Source organism: Homo sapiens, chromosome 2 (assembly GCF_000001405.40).
Source record: "Homo sapiens chromosome 2, GRCh38.p14 Primary Assembly".
NCBI classification, from domain to species: domain Eukaryota; kingdom Metazoa; phylum Chordata; class Mammalia; order Primates; family Hominidae; genus Homo; species Homo sapiens.
In genome coordinates, this window is record NC_000002.12 from 20,279,217 (window position 1) to 20,299,047 (window position 19,831).

At 36.9% G+C, this 19,831-nt stretch overlaps 1 protein-coding gene and 1 pseudogene across 54 annotated transcripts in view; both read right to left on the reverse strand.

Annotated features, from left to right (window-relative positions):
- Positions 1–19,831, reverse strand: part of PUM2 (pumilio RNA binding family member 2) — a 103,563-nt gene that overhangs the window by 30,526 nt on the left and 53,206 nt on the right. For all 54 annotated transcript variants that reach the window (XM_047443807.1, XM_047443803.1, XM_047443815.1 and 51 more), the window contains 5 exons: positions 18,337–18,462; positions 15,160–15,302; positions 11,436–11,574; positions 4,127–4,270; positions 3,731–4,015 (listed from right to left, as the gene is read on the reverse strand). In XM_047443807.1, coding sequence (XP_047299763.1) covers positions 3,731–4,015; positions 4,127–4,270; positions 11,436–11,574; positions 15,160–15,302; positions 18,337–18,462 — 837 coding nt within the window. The remainder of the gene's footprint in view (positions 1–3,730; positions 4,016–4,126; positions 4,271–11,435; positions 11,575–15,159; positions 15,303–18,336; positions 18,463–19,831) is intronic.
- LOC100421404 (RP9, pre-mRNA splicing factor pseudogene) lies at positions 12,323–13,046 on the reverse strand (annotated as a pseudogene).

Consider the following 19,831-nt stretch of genomic DNA (forward strand, 5'->3'; position numbering starts at 1 on the left):
ACTTTAACTCAATGCCAAGAAAAGATTATATGAATAAATAATTAGTACATTTCCTTCACCATTCATATTTAATTTGTCATCTAGCTGTGTTCAAAACATAGCCCTTTAAGTCCATATTGGCCCGAATATTGATCAGTTGTGAAATACAGTGAGCAGCTAACTCAACAGTATTTTTTACACTACGCATTCTCCCTTGTTCTTTAACTACATTACAAAGTAACTCGACTTTTCTAAAATTAATAGCTCTCACTGTTATCAAACCAAAGACATACTTTCACTTATCCCACAGGACTCTTCTACTCCTAAGATGCTAGTACTACTGCCTCCTGAGCCCCTTACTCAAGGCTGATCAGGTTTTTGTCATTTGATAATACACAATTTCTCTTACTTTACATCCCTTAATACAATGCATACCAAATTTTTACTTAATATCAAATGTAACTATTATCCTTCTAATCCTTTTTCCTTTTATAGTGCAGAAAATAAAGGTCATGTAGGCCCTGGTGAGCTATACATGCTCAGAAGAGCTAATCAAGATCTGGCTGTTAATCAACACCTGTCTGGATAATCAAATTCCACAGCATGCATCTCTAAGGGCTGTCCAAACTCTCAGTTCTCAAGTCTCACTTAAAGCCCATATATTCAAGTACGTTTCCTTCCTATTTCTAAGCACTAGCCTCTTTTAACTGAATAACTTTTACATCTAAGAAAATTTCAAACCACATTTCTGAACCTGCCAAATACATTTTTAAATGACAAGCTCTATATTCGGACCAATATGGCAATGCTTTTCAAGGGATCTAAGTTTCTATTAAATCTTATTTAAGCACAAGTCATATATAAATAGGTCATACAGGGTATAAAGAAAAAAATTAAGGAGAGTACATCATGGGTAGACCAAGGTAAGAGTATAATACAGACGGAAAACTTAATTACGTTGGTTTTGCCAAATTCAAAATTCTATAAAGGGGTAAAAAAACCAGGCTTATGCTACCACATTAGGCAAAAGATTATAATGCTATTCAACCTTTTATACCAGCCAATGCAGTTTCTGAGACTGATCATGTTTTGTTGAAGATTTTACATTTTAAGATATCATAGTAAGAAAATACTAGGTGTCTATATGCATTTTTATTGCAAAAGTGAATTATAAGCACATGTAATAAACAGTTATTCTTGAGTTGGTTTTGGTAAAACTGGCAATGTATGCTACATTAACTATGCTAATTTAAAAGGACACTGTCAAAGTGATTTTTCTAAAATATGGCTACATTTTAAATTCCTATTTATTTCAGAAAACAATTTAACTGACAATGAAAAGACAACAGCTCTAATAAGAGCAGCATTATTCCCCTGACAAATAATCCAAGAAACCAGTTTTGACACATGCAATATTATTTTCCTCCAAAAAGGAAAAGTCAAGCCAAACATTTAAAAATAATTCAGAAATAACCTTAAATATAAAGAAGCTGGCTCTTTAAGTTTTACTATATGTCTAAATTATCTCCAACAGTATGACTATGAGATATGAAACAAAGTGTACCTAAAATATCTAAGAGGGTAGACAGACTGCTAATCATTCATCGACTGTGAAAAAAGGCTAAATTATAAACTTTCAATTGTAACAACACTTTAAAAAATAACAGGTCATAGAAAAGATGATTTAAATTATATGTTACGATGTTTAGGCTTCTTGGCCAACTATATCATAAAATGGGGTATTTAACACTGTTAAACATTAATAATTTCATCATAGAGGTAAGAGAAGGACTGTGTATGTTACTTGTATATGTGTATACAGGCACACAACCATATTATGTTTTAGAGCTCATGTAAGTATGTAATTGCCATAATGTGAAAAGGCAGTGTGCAAACTTGTAAGAGTCCATATATATAGCACTTGAAAAAACTCCCACAAAATGCCCAAGAGGAGAGATACGATGGACTCTTTACTGGCATTCAGGGGTGGCAATCACTAATGCTCTCTAAAGCAAGGTAAAATGAAGCTCTTACAGATTGGAGTCAGAATTAAGTAAGCCATGCTTGTAAATAATGGAGGTGTGAAGGTTAGTTTTGGGGAAACAGGGCATCTGTAGTGGACAAAATGTTCATGTCAATCAATTCCTGAAAGGGGGAAAACAGCCTTAACTAAGAAACAAATGGAAATTTGAAAGAATTGAGTAGGGGCCTAGAAATCTGAACCAGACGATCAGTGACATACTACGTGAGAAAGGAAACATGGGGTTTAATCAATGCTCTCTTTTTTCTGAATTATTTAGGGCCTACAATTTATAATTTAAAAACTATTTCCACAAGTTTGTTTTTTATGTTACTTGTTCTTCCAGTTTTCCTCAGAATATTTAGGATTCTTTGGAGAAAATGTCCCAATTGTGTTAGAAACAAGGAATGAGTCCTATGGGAGTGCGTGAGGTGGACAAAGAGATACACAACTCCAAAAGCAATGAAAAAACTCAAGTACAAAATTGAAAAGATTTAACAATCCCCATGTTCACTGGATTTTCCCTCAGAAATTCTTATGAGCAGTCTTCAGATAATTTTGTGTCAGTCCAATATGACATCCACTTATTGTATTTCATTACAATAAATGAAAAAAGATTCTGCCATCTAAAAGTTTGTGGCTGTTCTAGACCATCCTTCCTGTATATATGAATGATAAAAGTTCAGAAGACACTCCCTTAGAAAACTGGCAAGCATTGTTAATAATGCCTGGCATGTGTTAGTTCTGCCATTTTCCACACCAGAAAAGAATATAATTTGATGTGGTAAGAAAAGAGATCAGAAACAGATATTAAGGACTGTAGCAAGTTATGTTATAGAAACAGAAAATCTCTTGAGGTCCAAATAGTCCTATCCTCATGAAGTAAAAGCTGCCAGCTGCACCGATAGAACTGGGTCAGCTGTTTTTTCCCTAATGTTTCCTGAGTACTGTGGAAACCTCACAGAAAACACCAAGTGTATCAACAAGAAGTCAACGTGGGCCTCTTCTGATTTCACTTAGTTCTTCCTCTACCACAGGATCCAGGAACCAGTTTGAGTGGGTCAATTATTTAGTGAAGCTATTTAAAATTTTGATTTGTTAAGTGTTATATAAAGCTAAGATACATGAATAGATACCCTTTTAAGTGAATTTTTAGTGACAAAGGCTAACTTATTTAATCTAAAAGATAACCATACTGGTAGCTTCTTAGGGGATTCTGTGTAGAACATTTCAGTATTTATACATACACATATGTATTTTTTATATTAGGCCAAATTTAAAAACTGTAATAAACTACCAGCATTTAATAAGAATAAACCATCTAATAAGGACACAAAGATAACTGCTTTAAAATACCAAAAATTTAAGACGGCAAAATATTTGCCTCCACAAACATTATGTAGTGAATGAAGATGAGCTAATAATTAGTGAATAATATATTGACCCAAATAAACCCTACTAAAACAAAAATTACAGTAATCAATTCCTAGAGCCAGGGAAAAAGGAAATGTATTATATATGAGTAAAGAACAGGCTGCCTATAGTGAGTTAAACATTGGTGAGTGTTGAAAAGATTTGCAGGATTTTTTTTTCCTACAAATTAAACCAGTAGTCCAATACTTTATTCCTGTCCTTCCTATCCTACATGCTATTATTGCTTATTTTAATGTTAAACACACTCATATACCTCTTCCACTTAGCAGAGTACACTCATCGTAAAAACAAACTTACCTGATGAACCAAATCCACTGAGGGCTGAGCCTATAGCAGCACCCAAAGAGTTACCACTTCCAAAGCCAAGAGATGTACTTCCAGGTTGACCAGGTCCATGAGAAAATAAAGAACTACTCTGGGAGCTATTAGTCAAAGAACTGCTTCCATAAAATGAATTAGATTGCAGATTAGTGCTTGGCTGCTGTTGCTGCTGCTGTGGTGGCTGAGTGCCAATTGGCCGAAACAGACCATTTGTGCTGCCTGTAAGGCTACTTGCAGTTCCTCCAGCTGCTGCTGCTGCTGCTGTAAAATAAATTTCAGATACTTCTTTAAACCACCCAGAAAATTCTGTATTTTAAAAATGGTATCTCAACACCAGAAAAATATTATCCTAAAAATGTCAGTTACACTTACCAGCTTGTGCTGCTGCTGAACTAATTAAAACAGGTGTTGGAGCCATTAACCGAACTGGAGCTCCAAGGCCAGTCCTTGCTCCAGGGCCAACCACTAAGGCACCAGTCTGATCATAATAGGCAGTTGGAGCTAGTACTTGATAGCCTAAATAAAATAAAGGTTTACTAATGAAAGCACTTATTACAAAAACATGCATATTTGTTTTTCCCTGCATTTGTATTTTTTCAACTAGACAACACAGCTATTTGTACCATTACTATAAAATCCTTAGTTAATATATGCAAAGCAACACATTTGACAAGGTCTTACTAAATATATGAAAAAGTAATAGACTGTCATTAAACATTTTTTCTCTAAATTTTACTCAGGGGCCACAAAATGAAGAGGTATTTTCCTTAATATAGAAACTACAGGCTATGAAGGAAGGGCTGATATTAGAAAAAAAAAATCACCATTTAGCCCTTCGAAGAAGAAGGATTAAAAAAACTGGGAGTAGCGAGGTAGAACACTGTACGAAATGTTTACTGTGCAATTTCATTGAAGTTCAAAATCAAGTGCCTCATTACCAGCATTCCGTTAGATTTTCATTTGTAATCATCTCTTTAAAAACTTAAGCCAAACATTCTATTTGTGAAGATTCTCAAGCTAGAGTTTAATTAAAAATCACACAGGCTTTAGTTTTATTGTAGCCTTAAGCACAAGGTAGGTAATCTTCACAAATAGTGGAGAATAAAGTTAACTTCTTAGCAGCCTTTCTCAATGGAGATTCTCTGTTGAACCAAAAACACAGAAAATGATTTAAGTAAGTATTTTGTTAATTCTCCTAAGGATGGTATATAACAAGCATCACTCTGGAATCACAGGAGAGAAGTTAGCTATATACACTGTGGATACTTCAGAGCAGTAATAAGGCTTTATTCTTTTCTGGAACTCAGTTTAGAAAGGCTGCCTTATAAAGCGACAAAAAACTGAGGCCCAATAACCTTACAACTATCAGCAAAACATGCATTGGCAACTTTTTTTTCCCTTAAAGAGTGCTGTCTTGCTCTGTTGTCTAGGCTGGAGCACAGTGGCATAATCATAGCTCACTGCTGCCTCAAACTCCTGGGCTTACATGATCCTCCCGCCTCAGCATCCTAAGTGGCTGGGACTACAGGTACATGCCACCAGGTCCGGATAATTTATTTTTATTTTCTACAGAAATAGGGCCTCACTATGTTGCCTAGCCTAGTCTTTAACTCCTGGGCCAGCGATCCTCCCGCCTCAGCCTCCCAACTGTGTCTGGTCCTTTAAGAAGTTTTTAAAAACACAGACTATACTGAAATACATTCCAACATCAATTTTTAAGTCTTATTTTGTTAATACTATGCAGAAGTGAGAGTTACAGTAAAATTAGTGATAATGCAGCATGAACATTTTATTGCCTTTAAACACAGTAGGCTAAATTCAGCTCAAATATAATAAACAGTGCTCAGATAAACACTTCACCTGTAAGACACACATGCATAGGTTGTTTTTAGTAAATACAGTAATTCTGATCAAGAATAAGCATTAGCACGCTGCTAATAAAATATCCACATTACTAGTAAATTTCAAACTGTACATGCCAGTCAATAGTCTTAACTGGTATGTGTGGTCTAGTCCTAAATCCAAGGCACACAGAAAACATTCTTGTTCAAAAACATTGTCATTTACTTAACATCTGAATTTGAATTAAAAATAAAAGTAAATCCATTTGGACATTTGGCTATAAACACTCTACTGACAAATCAAACAGCACTTAACTGCTCCTTAACTAAATTTTGCGTATATAAATTCCCAGAGAGGAAATAACCCACAGTCAACTCAACTCTGAAGTCCTGTTCATTTACCTTCCAATCTTTCTCAAATCCATCCATTCTCTTGATGGCTACTTTCCTGTCCAACCAGATTATATGGTCTGCCCTTGCTCTTTTGTCCCATGTCTGTAACACATTCTCCACAGAGACTGTGGTCTGAGATTGATATAAAAAGATATCAATCCACACTCTTGCTCCAAACCTTCCAAAGGGTTTGAAATGAAAAGCAAAGCTCTGAATATGGCCCACAACATGATCTGGTTGGTTCCTGGCTGTCTTTCTAGTTTTACCTGGTACTCATGTACCTTTTACGTATTGGGAAAAATGGGGGTTCAAACTCCTCAGAGGCACCACGATTCCCCTCAGCACAGGAGTTTGGTGCATTCTGTTCCTCTGTCACAGCATGATATTTTTTCCCACTCTCATTCTCTACTTAGCTTAATTTTTCATAAATTCATCCATTTGACAAATATTTATCAAGTGGCTACCACATGCCAGCCACTATTCTAGGTACTGGGATAAAGCAGGGAAAAATAAGGAAAAATATCCTTAAAGGAGATCATTTTCTGCTTCAAGTGAGATAAATGAAAAATAAGTAAAAAGGTATGTTAGACAGTTTTACATATTAAAAGGAGAGAAAAATCAGACAGGGAAAGTGGATAGAAGTTATTGGGCAGTGACAACAGTGTTAATAATTCAAAGCTGAGAATCATGAAGAATCTCCATAACAAGATGACATATGAGGAAAAATCTAAAGAAACTGGGAGAACTAGTCAAGCAGATATCTGTAGGAAGGCATCTCCAAATAGAAGACACAGAAAGTAAGCCAGTACGACTGAAAGAGAGACGGAGCAAAGAGTAAGACAGGCAACAAGGGGCCAGATCCTTACAGGTCACTGTTAATAACTTGAGCTTTTACTCTGACTTCAGGCAGGAAACCATTAGAGTTTTGAGGAGAGGAGTGAATTACTTCGACTTTTCTTACACCCAAGTTACTATGTAGAGAGAGGACTCCATAGGGGAGAAAAGAGGGACAAGAAGATGTGAGAAGCCAGATGGAAAGCTAATCCAGAGGAGAAGTAATGAGGACCAAGTCAAAATAGAAGTGACAGTAGAAAGGTAGTTGAATTCGGAGAACCCTAGAGATTTGCTGAAATTAGACGTGGGATGTGAGGTAAAAAGTAGTCAAGGATTCCCCTTATTTTTTGGCCTAAGAATTATAAGAACAGAATTTCTATTTATGATAAAGATGGACATCATAATTTATCTAGTCAACATTTTCTAATTTACTAACATGAGATTGTTCCTAATAGCTAATGATTACTTTTCCTGTTATTGGTTATTTATGCCTTCTCTGTTTTGATGAGTCTCTGAGGTTATCAACTTTATTGTCTTTTCAAAGAGGTGGTCAACTTCATTGTCTTCAAAGTAATTTCCGGGATAATTATTTTGTTTATTACTTTTCATTCATATCAGCTCCTATTTTTATTATTTGCTTCCTTCTACATTCTTTGGTTTTATTCTCTCTCTTTTTTTTAGAGTTTCTGGATAAATGCTTAACTCATTCATTTCCAGCCTAATTTTCTAATGTAATCATTAAAACCTATATATTCTCTATGCTATGTTTTTGTTCTAATCCACAAGTTTAAATATGCAGCATTTTCACTGTAATTCTGTTCAAAAGTTGCTAATTTCCATTCTTTTTGTCTATGGCCATACAACCCTGATCGTGCCTGATCTCATCTGAATTATCTTTTTGCTACTGAGAAAGTCTGTGACTGGTTAGATGAATGTATGAAGAGTGGGAAAAGGAAAAAAAAACGACGTAGGGAAGAATGAAGACAAGACATGGGGAATTGAAAAACAAAAACAAAAAAACATGGTCCTCGTACTCAAGAATTATGCAATCTAGCACAGGAGGAAACACACCCCTTCTTAATTCTAAAATGCCATTTACTTTAACATATGACATAGATCTAACAACTTCCCTTCAGAGAAACAAAACTCTCTAAGACATTTCCCATCTACGACCACATTAAAATAAGAGTTGTAGAATGGTGAAAATAAACCACAAATAGCTAAATGAAATGCAAGGCACACAGAAGTACTAAAAGAAGATGCAAGTAATATACCAAAGAGAGCAGACAAGGGAGTAATTATCAATGAATGAGCACTGGGAAAGATTGAGGAAAGCTTCATGAAAGGGACCATATTAAAAGATGAGAAGGATAGTTAATCACAAAATGTTTATGGGCTGAAATTTTAAAAAGCAAGAACTATATACACCAATTTTGTTTAAAATTTATAAAGGGGTATTTTAAGCTAGAAAAAAAAAGAACATGAGCTAGGACTAGAGGCATAGAAGTGCATGGTATGTTTGGGTAACAGTATATGGTCTAGTGCATTAAAGCACAGGACTATGAAGGAAGTTGAGAGATTTGGTAGGCCCATAATCTCAGCACTTTGGGAGGCCAAGGCAGGAAAATTGCTTGAGGCCAGGAGTTCAAGACCAGTCTCGCAACACAGACACTGTCTCCATAAAAATAAAAATGACCATGAGACAGAATGGTAGAGAATTGGCAAGTTATTGGATGTGGAGGCACAGAAGAAAACCAATAGTTAAAGGTAACTTTGAAGTTGCAGCCAAGAGTTTCTAGTTCTAGAGAAAGTAAAGTGAAACAAGGTAAACAGTAGACAGGAAAATTTGGAAATGTGAGTTCATTTTCTGACATTTTCAATTTGAGGAGTGCCTGCAACATAAAAGTAGAAATGTCTGGTATAAGGACAGACATGTATTAGGTGTTCAGAAAAGAATCCAAGATGCAGATGTAAATTCACAGGGATAATAGTTGAAAGGATTAATGCAAATATACTCTCCTGAGGAATAAGTCTAAAGTATCTCCACTTTTCCTATCTGAAACGAAAATTCAAAAAGGAAAATAACTTGGGCACGGTTAAACAATAGCTATGTGGTGGAAATACAGCAAATCTGACTCTGAAGAAGGCAGCCATTAAGCCAGACTGTCTTTTATATTTAAGGATATACATAGAGGAAGCAGAGACTGATAAAAAAGCAATGAGAGGTGAAAAGGCTATGAGTGAAATACCACTCCGCAGAAAAGAGTTACAAAGAGTTGGACACAGTCAACAGGGTGAACTGCAACAAACTGAGCATAAAAAAAGATACAGAGGAAATTATACTTTGTAACTGTCACTAAGTTATATTAGAGATACTGCAAAGGAATTATAGAGGCAGAATTTAAAAGTTATGGGATAGAGTATAAATTTTGACAAATAGTCCATGAGGGAAGCAGAGCAGAGATAAAGCTTTTTAGGATGAACAGGCAGAATAGCACAGTGGGGTTGAAAGGAAGGATTGGGAGAGGGAAAGACTAAAGATTCAAGACGGAAAAACAATAGCACACAGGATATAAAGCAGAAGAGTTAAGAATAGAACAGTAACTAGGGATCTGATAAAGTACTGAAGAAAGCTAGAAAGAAGAGCTAAAGTATGAGGCCTGAAGGAACATCGATTTTCTCAAGTGAGCCCTTTTTAGTATACACATTAGCTTTATAACTATGTAACTATTTGGATATGGAAAATGAGAATTATTTCATCATCATAGTCTGGGCACAATGAAGTAAAGAAGGCATCAAAGAAAGTTTTAGTGTGAGGGGATCATGTGAACAGCCCAAAAGTCACTGAAACATACAAATACAAATCCTAGTAAGGCCCTTCTTATGAGAGTGGTTTTTTCGTTTGTATTTCTAAAAAGGCTAAAAAGTTGTGGCTCAAAAGATTAAGTAATCCACTTTAAGACATGTTGTGTGGCTGGGCGTGGTGGCTCACATCTGTAATCCCAGCACTTTGGGAGGCCAAGGTGGGTGGATCATGAGGTCAGGAGTTCAAGACCAGCCGGCCAATATGGTGAAGCCCCGTCTCTACTAAAAATACAAAAGAAAAAAAAAAGTTGGGTGTGGTGGCACGTGCCTAAGAAATGAGTAATAGGGCCAGCATCAAGAGCCTAGGAGGATCAATGAGTTACAGGACACAGCAAACACATGCAGGCCAGAGGCACTCTTCTTAATTCCAGGTTCCACAGAGAAACTAGTTAAGCAGGAAAAATTGTTGTACTCCATAACTCCTCTCTCCGTTCTACATATAGCTAAAACCTAAGAAGAACCCAAAATAGTCTCAGTGGCCCTCAAAAACTCCCAGCTCACTTTTCAGCCCAACGTCCATGTGCCTAAAACAACTTCAGCTTCACAGTCCATTTCTCAAAAGTCTGCTTTTGCCAAGGTCTCTAATCCACAATGACTCCATGACAGTAGAGTCCAGGAAGCAAAAATATATGGCTGGGGTATAAAAAATAAAATAATGAGAATGCCACCCACTCTACTATCATTTCTACTTCAGGGACAGCAGGATGAAAATCTCTTTATCCCGTGAACCAGACAAGATGATAAATTCAGATCTTAAAATTCCAGAGAGAAAGAATAAATGTAATTGAAATAGAAATCCTTCAAACAACAAACCAAAGTATTTACAAGTACTTAATATATAAAAGAAACTCTCAATCATGCAAGTCATTATTTTTTCCAATACACTGAACACATTTCCTAAATGATCTGAATAGAAAAGTAAACTGCATTATGATTAAATGGAAATTGGAACTCAAATATCATTAGTAAGTAACCCATATACGGACAACCACTGATATACCAAAAGTGAAAAAAAGCATACTTAAATCTCCAAAAGAGAATGGCAAGTTATGCCTTATCTACTGATATTCAAATATAGCTTTAAAGTTTAAAAACAAATGCTGCATTTTTTTTACTTAGAAAACAACCGTTCTTCCTCCATTATTATTAGTGATCATTTCACAAAAAAGTACTTTGTTGCCCTTTCCCAAAAGTTGTACAGTAGCAATGGGTAGAAATTTTATACTGTAATTTTTTATACTAGGCTTTCAAAGACACATTATCGACACTGTTGCTATTAAGTTATAAATAATAGTTTTAAACGCTATAAATGGGCTAAACAAGATTAAACAGGGTTCAAAGTAAGAAACATTAGCGGCAAACTTCTGCTATTAACTAAAAGATTATTCTTATAAAGCAGGAGTGGCAAATAGATTGTCTTGCATACCAACTCTCAATAACTGTTTTACTTCTTGAAGCAATATATTAAAAATTCTGGGTTAGGATTAGATAGATGCTATAAAAAAATGGCTGTGTTGAGAATTCTGATACATATTTACCATTCCTGTCGTTGAGTCTCAATTTACCATTCCTGTCGTTGAGTCTCACAATCAATACTGATTTCAATTATTAGCATCTGAGTTCTAAATATTTTGTTACAAGGTAGGCAAGATTTTAAATACAGTTTGATTTTTTTCACTCTTCAGTGTGAGTACCTACACTTAACATCTGAAATCTATTCAAATTTCCACAAATGACCAATTGTATACCTGGCATGCCAGTAGCAAGACCCTGACCAAAAGCCAATGTTGGATTTGCTGCTGCAGCTGCCGCAAGTGATTCTGCTTGCTGCCCTTGCTGACCCTGATTGGGAGTAAGAGGACGCTGACCTGCTCCAGCACGGAGAACCTACAAAGGTAAAATGATTTTCTTAAAATCAATATAAAATAATAGATAAGTAAATTTATCTTGGACAACTGTGTATTTATTACAAACAGCCTTTGGATATTTTTTAAACATTTACATGCAAGGAAATGTAGATTTAGCATGAAAAATCACAAAATACATTAACATCAAAAACACAATCACTAGCTCTTAACAGCTAGAACAATCTATAAAGCAACATGGAGGTTACAGAAAATCTTTGGTTAAAAACTATTTCTAATATCTGTGCTCTTTAACAAAGTAGTTTAAAAAATAATAATAATAATAATGAGCTTTTATTATTCTCAACAACAGAGAAGACTCCAGCCTGACATCTGCTGGAACTGAGTCCACACTGTGGAAGGCACAAGCTGTGGCAGGGCCTGGAAGACATGCCTTAGAGATTCCCTCAGTCCTGCCACCTTGTGGAAGACATTTCAAAAGAATGAATGGTAAACTCATGTGACCAGCAGGGAGGACAACATCGAAGAAACTTTCCTGCCTAAAGTCAGCCTCTGTCCAGAGCTAGTACATGGAAGGAGATACTTCTCCTGGGGTCACATCTTCACTGGAAGGCAGGTGGGAGCTCACTGCTGTGACCCACATATCCTCCTCGCTCGGCGTCTCTATTCTGGTACTTTATCCGACCGACTGCATATTCCTCTGTTCCTTGGCTACAGTGTTTAATTCTTGAGAAGAGAATGTTGAACAAGTCAAGTCCTCGTCACCCTTAGTCAGAACTCTCATTTGACTTGGAAGATTTGTACTTCCATTTTTTCTTCTTTTTCTTTTCTTTCTTCCTTTTCTTTCCTCTTCTTTTTCTTGTGTTTCTCTTTACTTCAGAGGAACTGGAGCTGCTCCCATCTTCATCCAAGATAGAATCCTCCAATAACTGTTTTAACTGCTGTATCCTTACATCCTTTTCATGTCTTTTATTGCCTCACATGCTGCCATATATGGGATCTTCATGTGCTACTCTGAACTGCTCTTTCAGTTACCTTTGATAAAGAAAGGGCATTGTTTGTCGCCCATTTGGTGACCATACCGTTTGCAACGCCAACCCAAGCATCCTTTAATCTTGTTGCTTTAGGAATGAATTTTCCATCACCAAGAAATTATGAAGCAATCCAATGAAAAGTAAGTGCTTAACTTTGACTTCTTTCTCCAGTGGCATCCAAAGTCCTTTAGTTGGTGTGTGAGCCAGAAATTCCCTGGCATGTTCATTGCCTGGTACATCTGGTATGCAGTCTTCTGGCTTAGTGTCATCTTCCTTGATAAGCCCAGGAGGAGGTTTTTTCATAAAAGGACTCCAGGTGCATGAGCTGCATCATGCTGCTTTTGCTCCCGGCGCCACTGCCCTGCAACTTGCCCGGGAGGTGGCCAAAATCCTGGCCTCCGCTACTTGATCCCCGCCTCCCTGTGGCTGGCCCCACGTCAGTGCACGGAGCCCCAGAGCTTAGCGCCGTCAGGCCCATGGCTGACAGTTGGTAGTTTTTTTTTTTTTTTTCCCCAAAGATTTGTTTGGGAGTAGGAGGAATGGCAAAATCTTAAGACTTTAAAATTAGATTTTTTTCTGAGACGAAGTCTCGCTCTATCACACAGGCTGGAGTGCAATGGCATGATCTCAGCTCACTGCAACCTCTACCTCCTGGATTCAAGTGCTTCTCCCACCTCAGCCTCCCCAGTAGCTAGGACAACAGGCGCACGCCACCACGCTTGGCTAAGTTTTTGTATTTAGTAGAGACGGGGTTTCACCATTTTGGCCAGGCTGGTCTCTAACTCCTGACCTCAAGTGATCCACTGCACCCGGCCTAAAATTAGATTTTATTAAAATTATTTTCTAGGCTGGGCGCAGTGGCTCACACCTGTAATCCCAGCACTTTGGGAGGCCAAGGCAGGCGGATCACCTGAGGTCGGGAGTTCAAGACCAGCCTGACCAACATGGAGAAACCCTGTTCTCTATTAAAAATACAAAATTAGCCAGGCATGATGGCACGTGCCTGTCATCCCAGCTACTTGGGAGGCTGAGGCAAGAGAATTGCTGCCGGGAGGCAGAGGTTGTGGTGAGCTGAGATCACTCCATTGCACTCCAGTCTGGGCAACAAGAGCAAAACTCCATCTCAAAAAAAACAAAACAAAACAAAACAAAACAACACTAAGGCTGAAAAAGGAAATACGGAAAGATTCGGCAAATAAATTCGAATTTGTTACGAGACTGATGCAGACCAAACCAAGTTTTCAGGATTCAGAAGCCTTAATAAGAGTAAAAGCTGCTTTTAAACATATTTTTAAAAGAACACAGGATTATATATCAAAACAAGGTGAAAACTTAGTCTGGTCAAGGTTTACTATTCCGCAATACATAGCTGTTGTAGCAATCATACATAAGCATGATAAATTTAATCATTAATTTTAAACAACTCAGGACAAGTGGGAGTCGTAAGTCCTTCTCTGTAAGTAAGCATCAAACACAGGTGTGTATATTTTAAGCTAATGTGACATTACATTTGTCCAAACATACAGATTACAAAATAATTTATTAAACAATGAAGTGATATGATGTCAAAGGACTGAGCCAAAAACAGCTTCAACAGAGCATCTATGTAGAATCAAAATATATTACCCGAGAGCGGTGGCTCACGCCTATAATTCCGGCACTTTGAAAGGTCGAGGTGGGTGGATTACTTGAGGCCAGGAGTTCAAGACCAGCCTGGCCAACATGGTGAAACCCCGTCTCTAATAAAAATAGAAAAAATTAGCTGGGTGTGGTGGTGCACACCTGTAATCCCAGCTACTTGGAAGACTGAGGTATAAGAGTCACTTGAACCTGGGGTGGAAGTTGCAGTGAGCCAAGATCGTGCCACTACACTCCAGCCTAGGTGACAGAGTAAGACTGCTAAAAATAAAAATAAAATAAAATAAAAAATAAAATATATTAAAGGAAATTCAGAATAAAGTTTAACTGCCAAGTAAGCAATACCATGGTGCTTCTTCGGTATAAATACAATGAATGTGACAGTCAGAATTCTGTTATTTATTATAGTGTTTTTAGATTTATCAAGTTAGTTCTTTTGAAAAAGGCTCAAAATTTTAAAGATATAAACATCTTTCTTTTTCCAGAAATTAAAGCTAACCTTTAGTGAAAATATTTTATCATTTCTTGCTTAAAAATAAAAAATACCTACTAATCCCTTTTTACTGGTCAGAAACACATTAACATTTAAAATTGTAATTTAAATACCTGGAAAAATATGAAGGAATAATTATTTTGATAGGAACATTATTAACACACTAACATGAAGTGATGAAAAGAAATTTAGAAACTGCTAGAGATTTCAAGATCGCAAAATAACAGAAACACAGAAACTGAATATAACCAAATCTTTTAAATTCATATAATACTGATTAGGAAAAATAAAATCCCATGCATAAATACTTGCGTATCAACTGTATGCCAGGAGTCGTGTTACACAGTGAGGAAACGTAAGTCGAAAAACACAAATCTTAAACATTAGGAGCTCAAAGAATTTCAAAGAATACTTGGTATTACTTAATAGAAGGAAGGCCTACCTGTTGCTGTCCAGGCTGAGCTTGTGATGCTGCTTGCTGACTGGCTGTGTTATTTGCCGCAGCTGCAGCTTGCTGCTGAAATAAGTTGGCTGGATACACCCCCCATGGAACGCCGTAATACTGAGGTGGAACCACTGCTGGACCTAAACCCCACACCCGACCCCCGAATAAAAAGTTACTAGATTTTACATAGACATGAGGTTAGCTACCTATCATCAGATTATAAAAGGGGGCAGGAAGAAGACTTAGAGAAGAACATGTCTTTATAATAAAAGACAAAGTATTGATGGGTGACAGCAATGGTCTTAAAGGGAAAAGATGAGAATCCATCCTCAAGGAATCCAACCTCAAGGCTACCAATAAACTGATAGGACACTTAACCATCTATTCAACATTTAATGAATGCCAATTTTTGGGTCTGACACTATACAGATAATATATTCAGGGAACACAGATTCCATAAAACTAAGATTTTTTAAATGCTCATTCATCGTTTCTCTCAGAGAATTTTGACTACTGAGATGGATTACAAGATACTTTTAAAATATTTTACTTTCCAATCTATAACACAAAACTGGGGAACATTCTGGTACCAAGCATGCTACAATGGTATTTGAGTTGAAAACCTTAAATTTTAAAATATTTTTCATATTTCAGTCACGATTCTCACAGAACAACTGCAAATTATAAGAAAACAAATGAGACGTCAGCATTTATGTGGTTAGGAAAATGAAACTGAGTCAAGACAAGAAAGCACTAGATAATATAAGCAGAAAGAAAAATAGAAGGGAAACTAGGAAAATAAGAATAAATTGTTCCTGCTCTAGTCTACTTTATTCAAGATAATATTTGATTCCTAGAAAGTAAATAGTTTTATGCACAATAAGCTTCACCATTAAAGTAATGAATAAAATGTCATGATTCCTGACTTACATAACAAACATGTCCTAAAATGTTATCAGTGGAATTTTAGGACATCTTTATTTGTATTAATGTATTTTTAAAAGTCAAACTCTCGGTTTCACGTTGCATTCAAAGGGGAAAAAAGCCCAGTATATTTGACTGAATCACTAAAATAAAAAGCTTTTATTTCTACAGATAGCCAGGTAAGCTGAACCTGAAATGAGGACTATTAAAACACCGAATAGAGTTTACCAAAAAAAGGGTACATTGTAAAAATAAAACAATAAAAAGATACATTGTAAAAATAATAAAAAGGGTACACCGTAAAAATAAAACAATGAAAAGGATACATCGTAAAAATAAAATAAAAAGGACACATTGTAAAAATGAAAGGATATATTATAAAAAATATAAGTTTTGTAAACTCTATTCATAACATCTACCTAGAAACTCATCCAACCTAGCCAGGAGCCTGAATTTATTAACATGCTGAAATTATTATATTTTGGATATGTTGGGACAAATTAAAGAGTATTATTGAAATTAATTTTATTGCTTTTTACTTTTATATTGTGACTACTACAAAATCTTAAACTACATTTTCTGGCTCACATTGTATTTCTACTGGACAATGCTGGTCCTAGAAAACTTAAGTCCAAAATACATAGAATGCTTATACACAAACTAAATGACCTCTTCAAGTTACTTCTATCAGACCCACAGTTTAGTGGTTCTCTGTATTATACCAACACTTTACATAGTAACATCCAGTTAAATGGCACCAGAAAAGCTCACATCCTTATAGAATCACATCCAAGTCCACACCAAAAGCTAATGACAGCTTAGTTTCATTGTCGTAGCTAAGATATCAAATATAAATCTGAAATTTCTTCCCCGTTTTTTAAAACAAGATCTTGACTTTAAAAATCAGTCTTGGCCGGGCGCGGTGGCTCACGCCTGTAATCCCAGCACTTTGGGAGGCCGAGGCAGGCGGATCACAAGGTCAGGAGATGGAGACCATCCTGGCTAACACAGTGAAACCCCGTCTCTACGAAAAATACAAAAAATTAGCCAGGCGTGGTGGTGGGCGCCTGTAGTCCCAGCTACTCGGGAGGCTGAGGCAGGAGAATGGTGTGAACCCGGGAGGCGGAGCTTGCAGTGAGCCGAGATCGTGCCACTGCACTCCAGCCTGGGCAACAGAGCGAGACTCTGTCTCAAAAAAAAAAAAAAAGTCAGTCTCCTAGGAAAATACTGACTGTCAGAAGTGGGTTTCAAACTGATTAGTGACAATATTTCAGTCAAGATATCGCTCAAAGCCCCCCCAGCCCCCCCAAAAACAACAGGGACAGCCTCAAGTTTTGAAAGTCAGCCCATTAGCAGACTCATTCCAATAAACAAAATTCTAAGGCAGATATCAACCTATTCTTGCCTGTATAATCAATATAAACAATGCCTCAGACTAACTCATTTCTGTCTTTGTAGCCACCTCAACCTAAAACAAACTCTTCCCAAGAACCCCAACTAAGATCAGCAAATCGCTTTGTTCAAATAAGACTGTGCCTGATCAGCACACAACTTTTCCTTACTTACACAGACAATAAATACAGCTTTTTTGTTGTTGTTTTCATTTTTAGACAGTCTCACTCTGTCACCCAGGCCAGGCGCTTCGGCATCCCAAAGAGCTAGGATTACAGGTGTGAGCCACTGCACCTGGCCAGCTTTGGCTTTTATTTCAGATTCTGGGTGGTAGTCTCAGGCTGGGCAGTTTTTAGTACGTTCTTTCCAACTTGATCCAAACTTTTTGTCCCCCACCTTGTTTGTACATTTTAGCATTGCTCAAGAAATTTTAGATACATATTTTCTCAGAATTACTGTATCTGTTTATCTTACTCTATTCTACCCCTGACCTATGTATGCAGGCCACCTACCTCTATTTTATTTTCTGAGAAGTAATTTTACTTTGCATTGTCTCTGCGGGTAATGGGGTTTGTCATTAAAATGGAGATTCATGGTTGACTATATAGATTTCTAAAACTATAAAGCTGAAATGTAAGCCAATTACGTATACGAGGAAAAGTTATTGCTTAAGCTTTTCCCTGTAGCATTACAGTTGAAAAATAGTACTAACTTCCTGGAAACTTTAGTTCATTCTGGATAATGTTTCAGTTTTTCTTAGGAATTTCAAATTGCCCAAATAGAGAAAAATAAAGCTTACACCCAAAACTAAATACATTAAAAAGCAACCATAATAAAGATGAACAAATAGTATGTTACCTGCTAATGTAGCTGCTGCAGCCAATCCTGCTGCAGTATACGGATCGGTCCCTGGAGGAGCAGCACTAATAATGTATGGATTTGGCACAAATGCAGCTGGAGCAAGGCCTGCTGAGAATACACCAGCTATATTTTAAAAGGGGAGAAATAATAAACAACAATGTAAAGTATGATTTTTTTCATTAGATAAAAACATTTCTACTCTGAATCTGGGGTGGTGTGGGGGTGGGGAGCAGAGTGTGCATAATGGTTCAAATTTTTACTAAGTGACCTTGGGCATGTACCGCTAACTCTAAATTAGTTTTCATTTAAGAAACAGCTGTTTTGCAGAATTGCTGTGAGAATTAAATGTAATACCGATTATGACATAACTGTACTGTCTCGAGGTATGTTATAGAAAATAAAAATATAAATTCAAAAAGAAATGACTGCACAGTATGTATTAGCATGAGACTGGCATAAAATAAATGTGAGAGCCAGAACTGCTACTGGTAAATAGTAGTTTTTCACTCAATCTTATAAAGTCACATTATGAGCTAGGGATTCAGTGAGGCAGGAATATACAATTTGCCCTCACAAAGCACTCCATCTGGTGAGAAAAACAGGTATATTAGCAAATACAATATAGCATATTAAGTGCTCTGGGCACAGAGAGGAGGAACATCTAATAAACTTTGGAAGGGGTGAGTAAAATGAATGAGGTATAGTGTAAGATAAAATAAAACTGGAGGTATAACCATCATGAAGACCAAGGAAGAGCTTCCTGGTTCATGCTAAGTAGTTTGGATTTTACCCTCCAGTCAATACGGAAACAAGAAAGAGCTTAAAGGCCAGTTACACTCACTTCTGAGTAACATACGTCCATATGAATTTAGTAAAGGCTGAAAAAGACCTAAAAATATACATTTGCAGTACTCATTAAAGAGAGAAGAAACTCTCAGATGTTGAGGAATCACTGTACAGGTCTTTCAACCACAGCTACTGGAAAAAATTACTTCACGAGACCCTGTCTCAAAAATAAATAAAAAATAATAGGCCGGGCGTGGTGGCTCATGCTTGTAATCCCAGCACTTTGGGAGGCCGAGGCAGGTGGAATACCTGAGGTCAGGAGTTCAAGACCAGCCTGGCCAACATGGTGAAACCCTGTCTCTGCTAAAAATACAAAAAAATTAGCTGGGAGTGGTGGCAAACGCTGGTAATCCCAGCTACTCAGGAGACTGAGGTTGGAGTGAGCCGAGATAACGCCACTGCACTCCAGCCTGGGCAAGAGGGCGAGACTCCGTCTCAGAATAATAACAATAACAACAATAATGATAATAGTAATATTTTTAAAAAGCATTCAAAAGGAAAATATATCTTACTAGGCCTTAAAATCAAAATTCAGGTTCCTGAAGGGTGGCACACCCAGGGAGGGCATGGAAGCTCCGCACCCCTTCCTCCATGCCTCACCCTACCCAGCAGCTCTGCACACCTGTATCCTTAACAGTATCTTTCA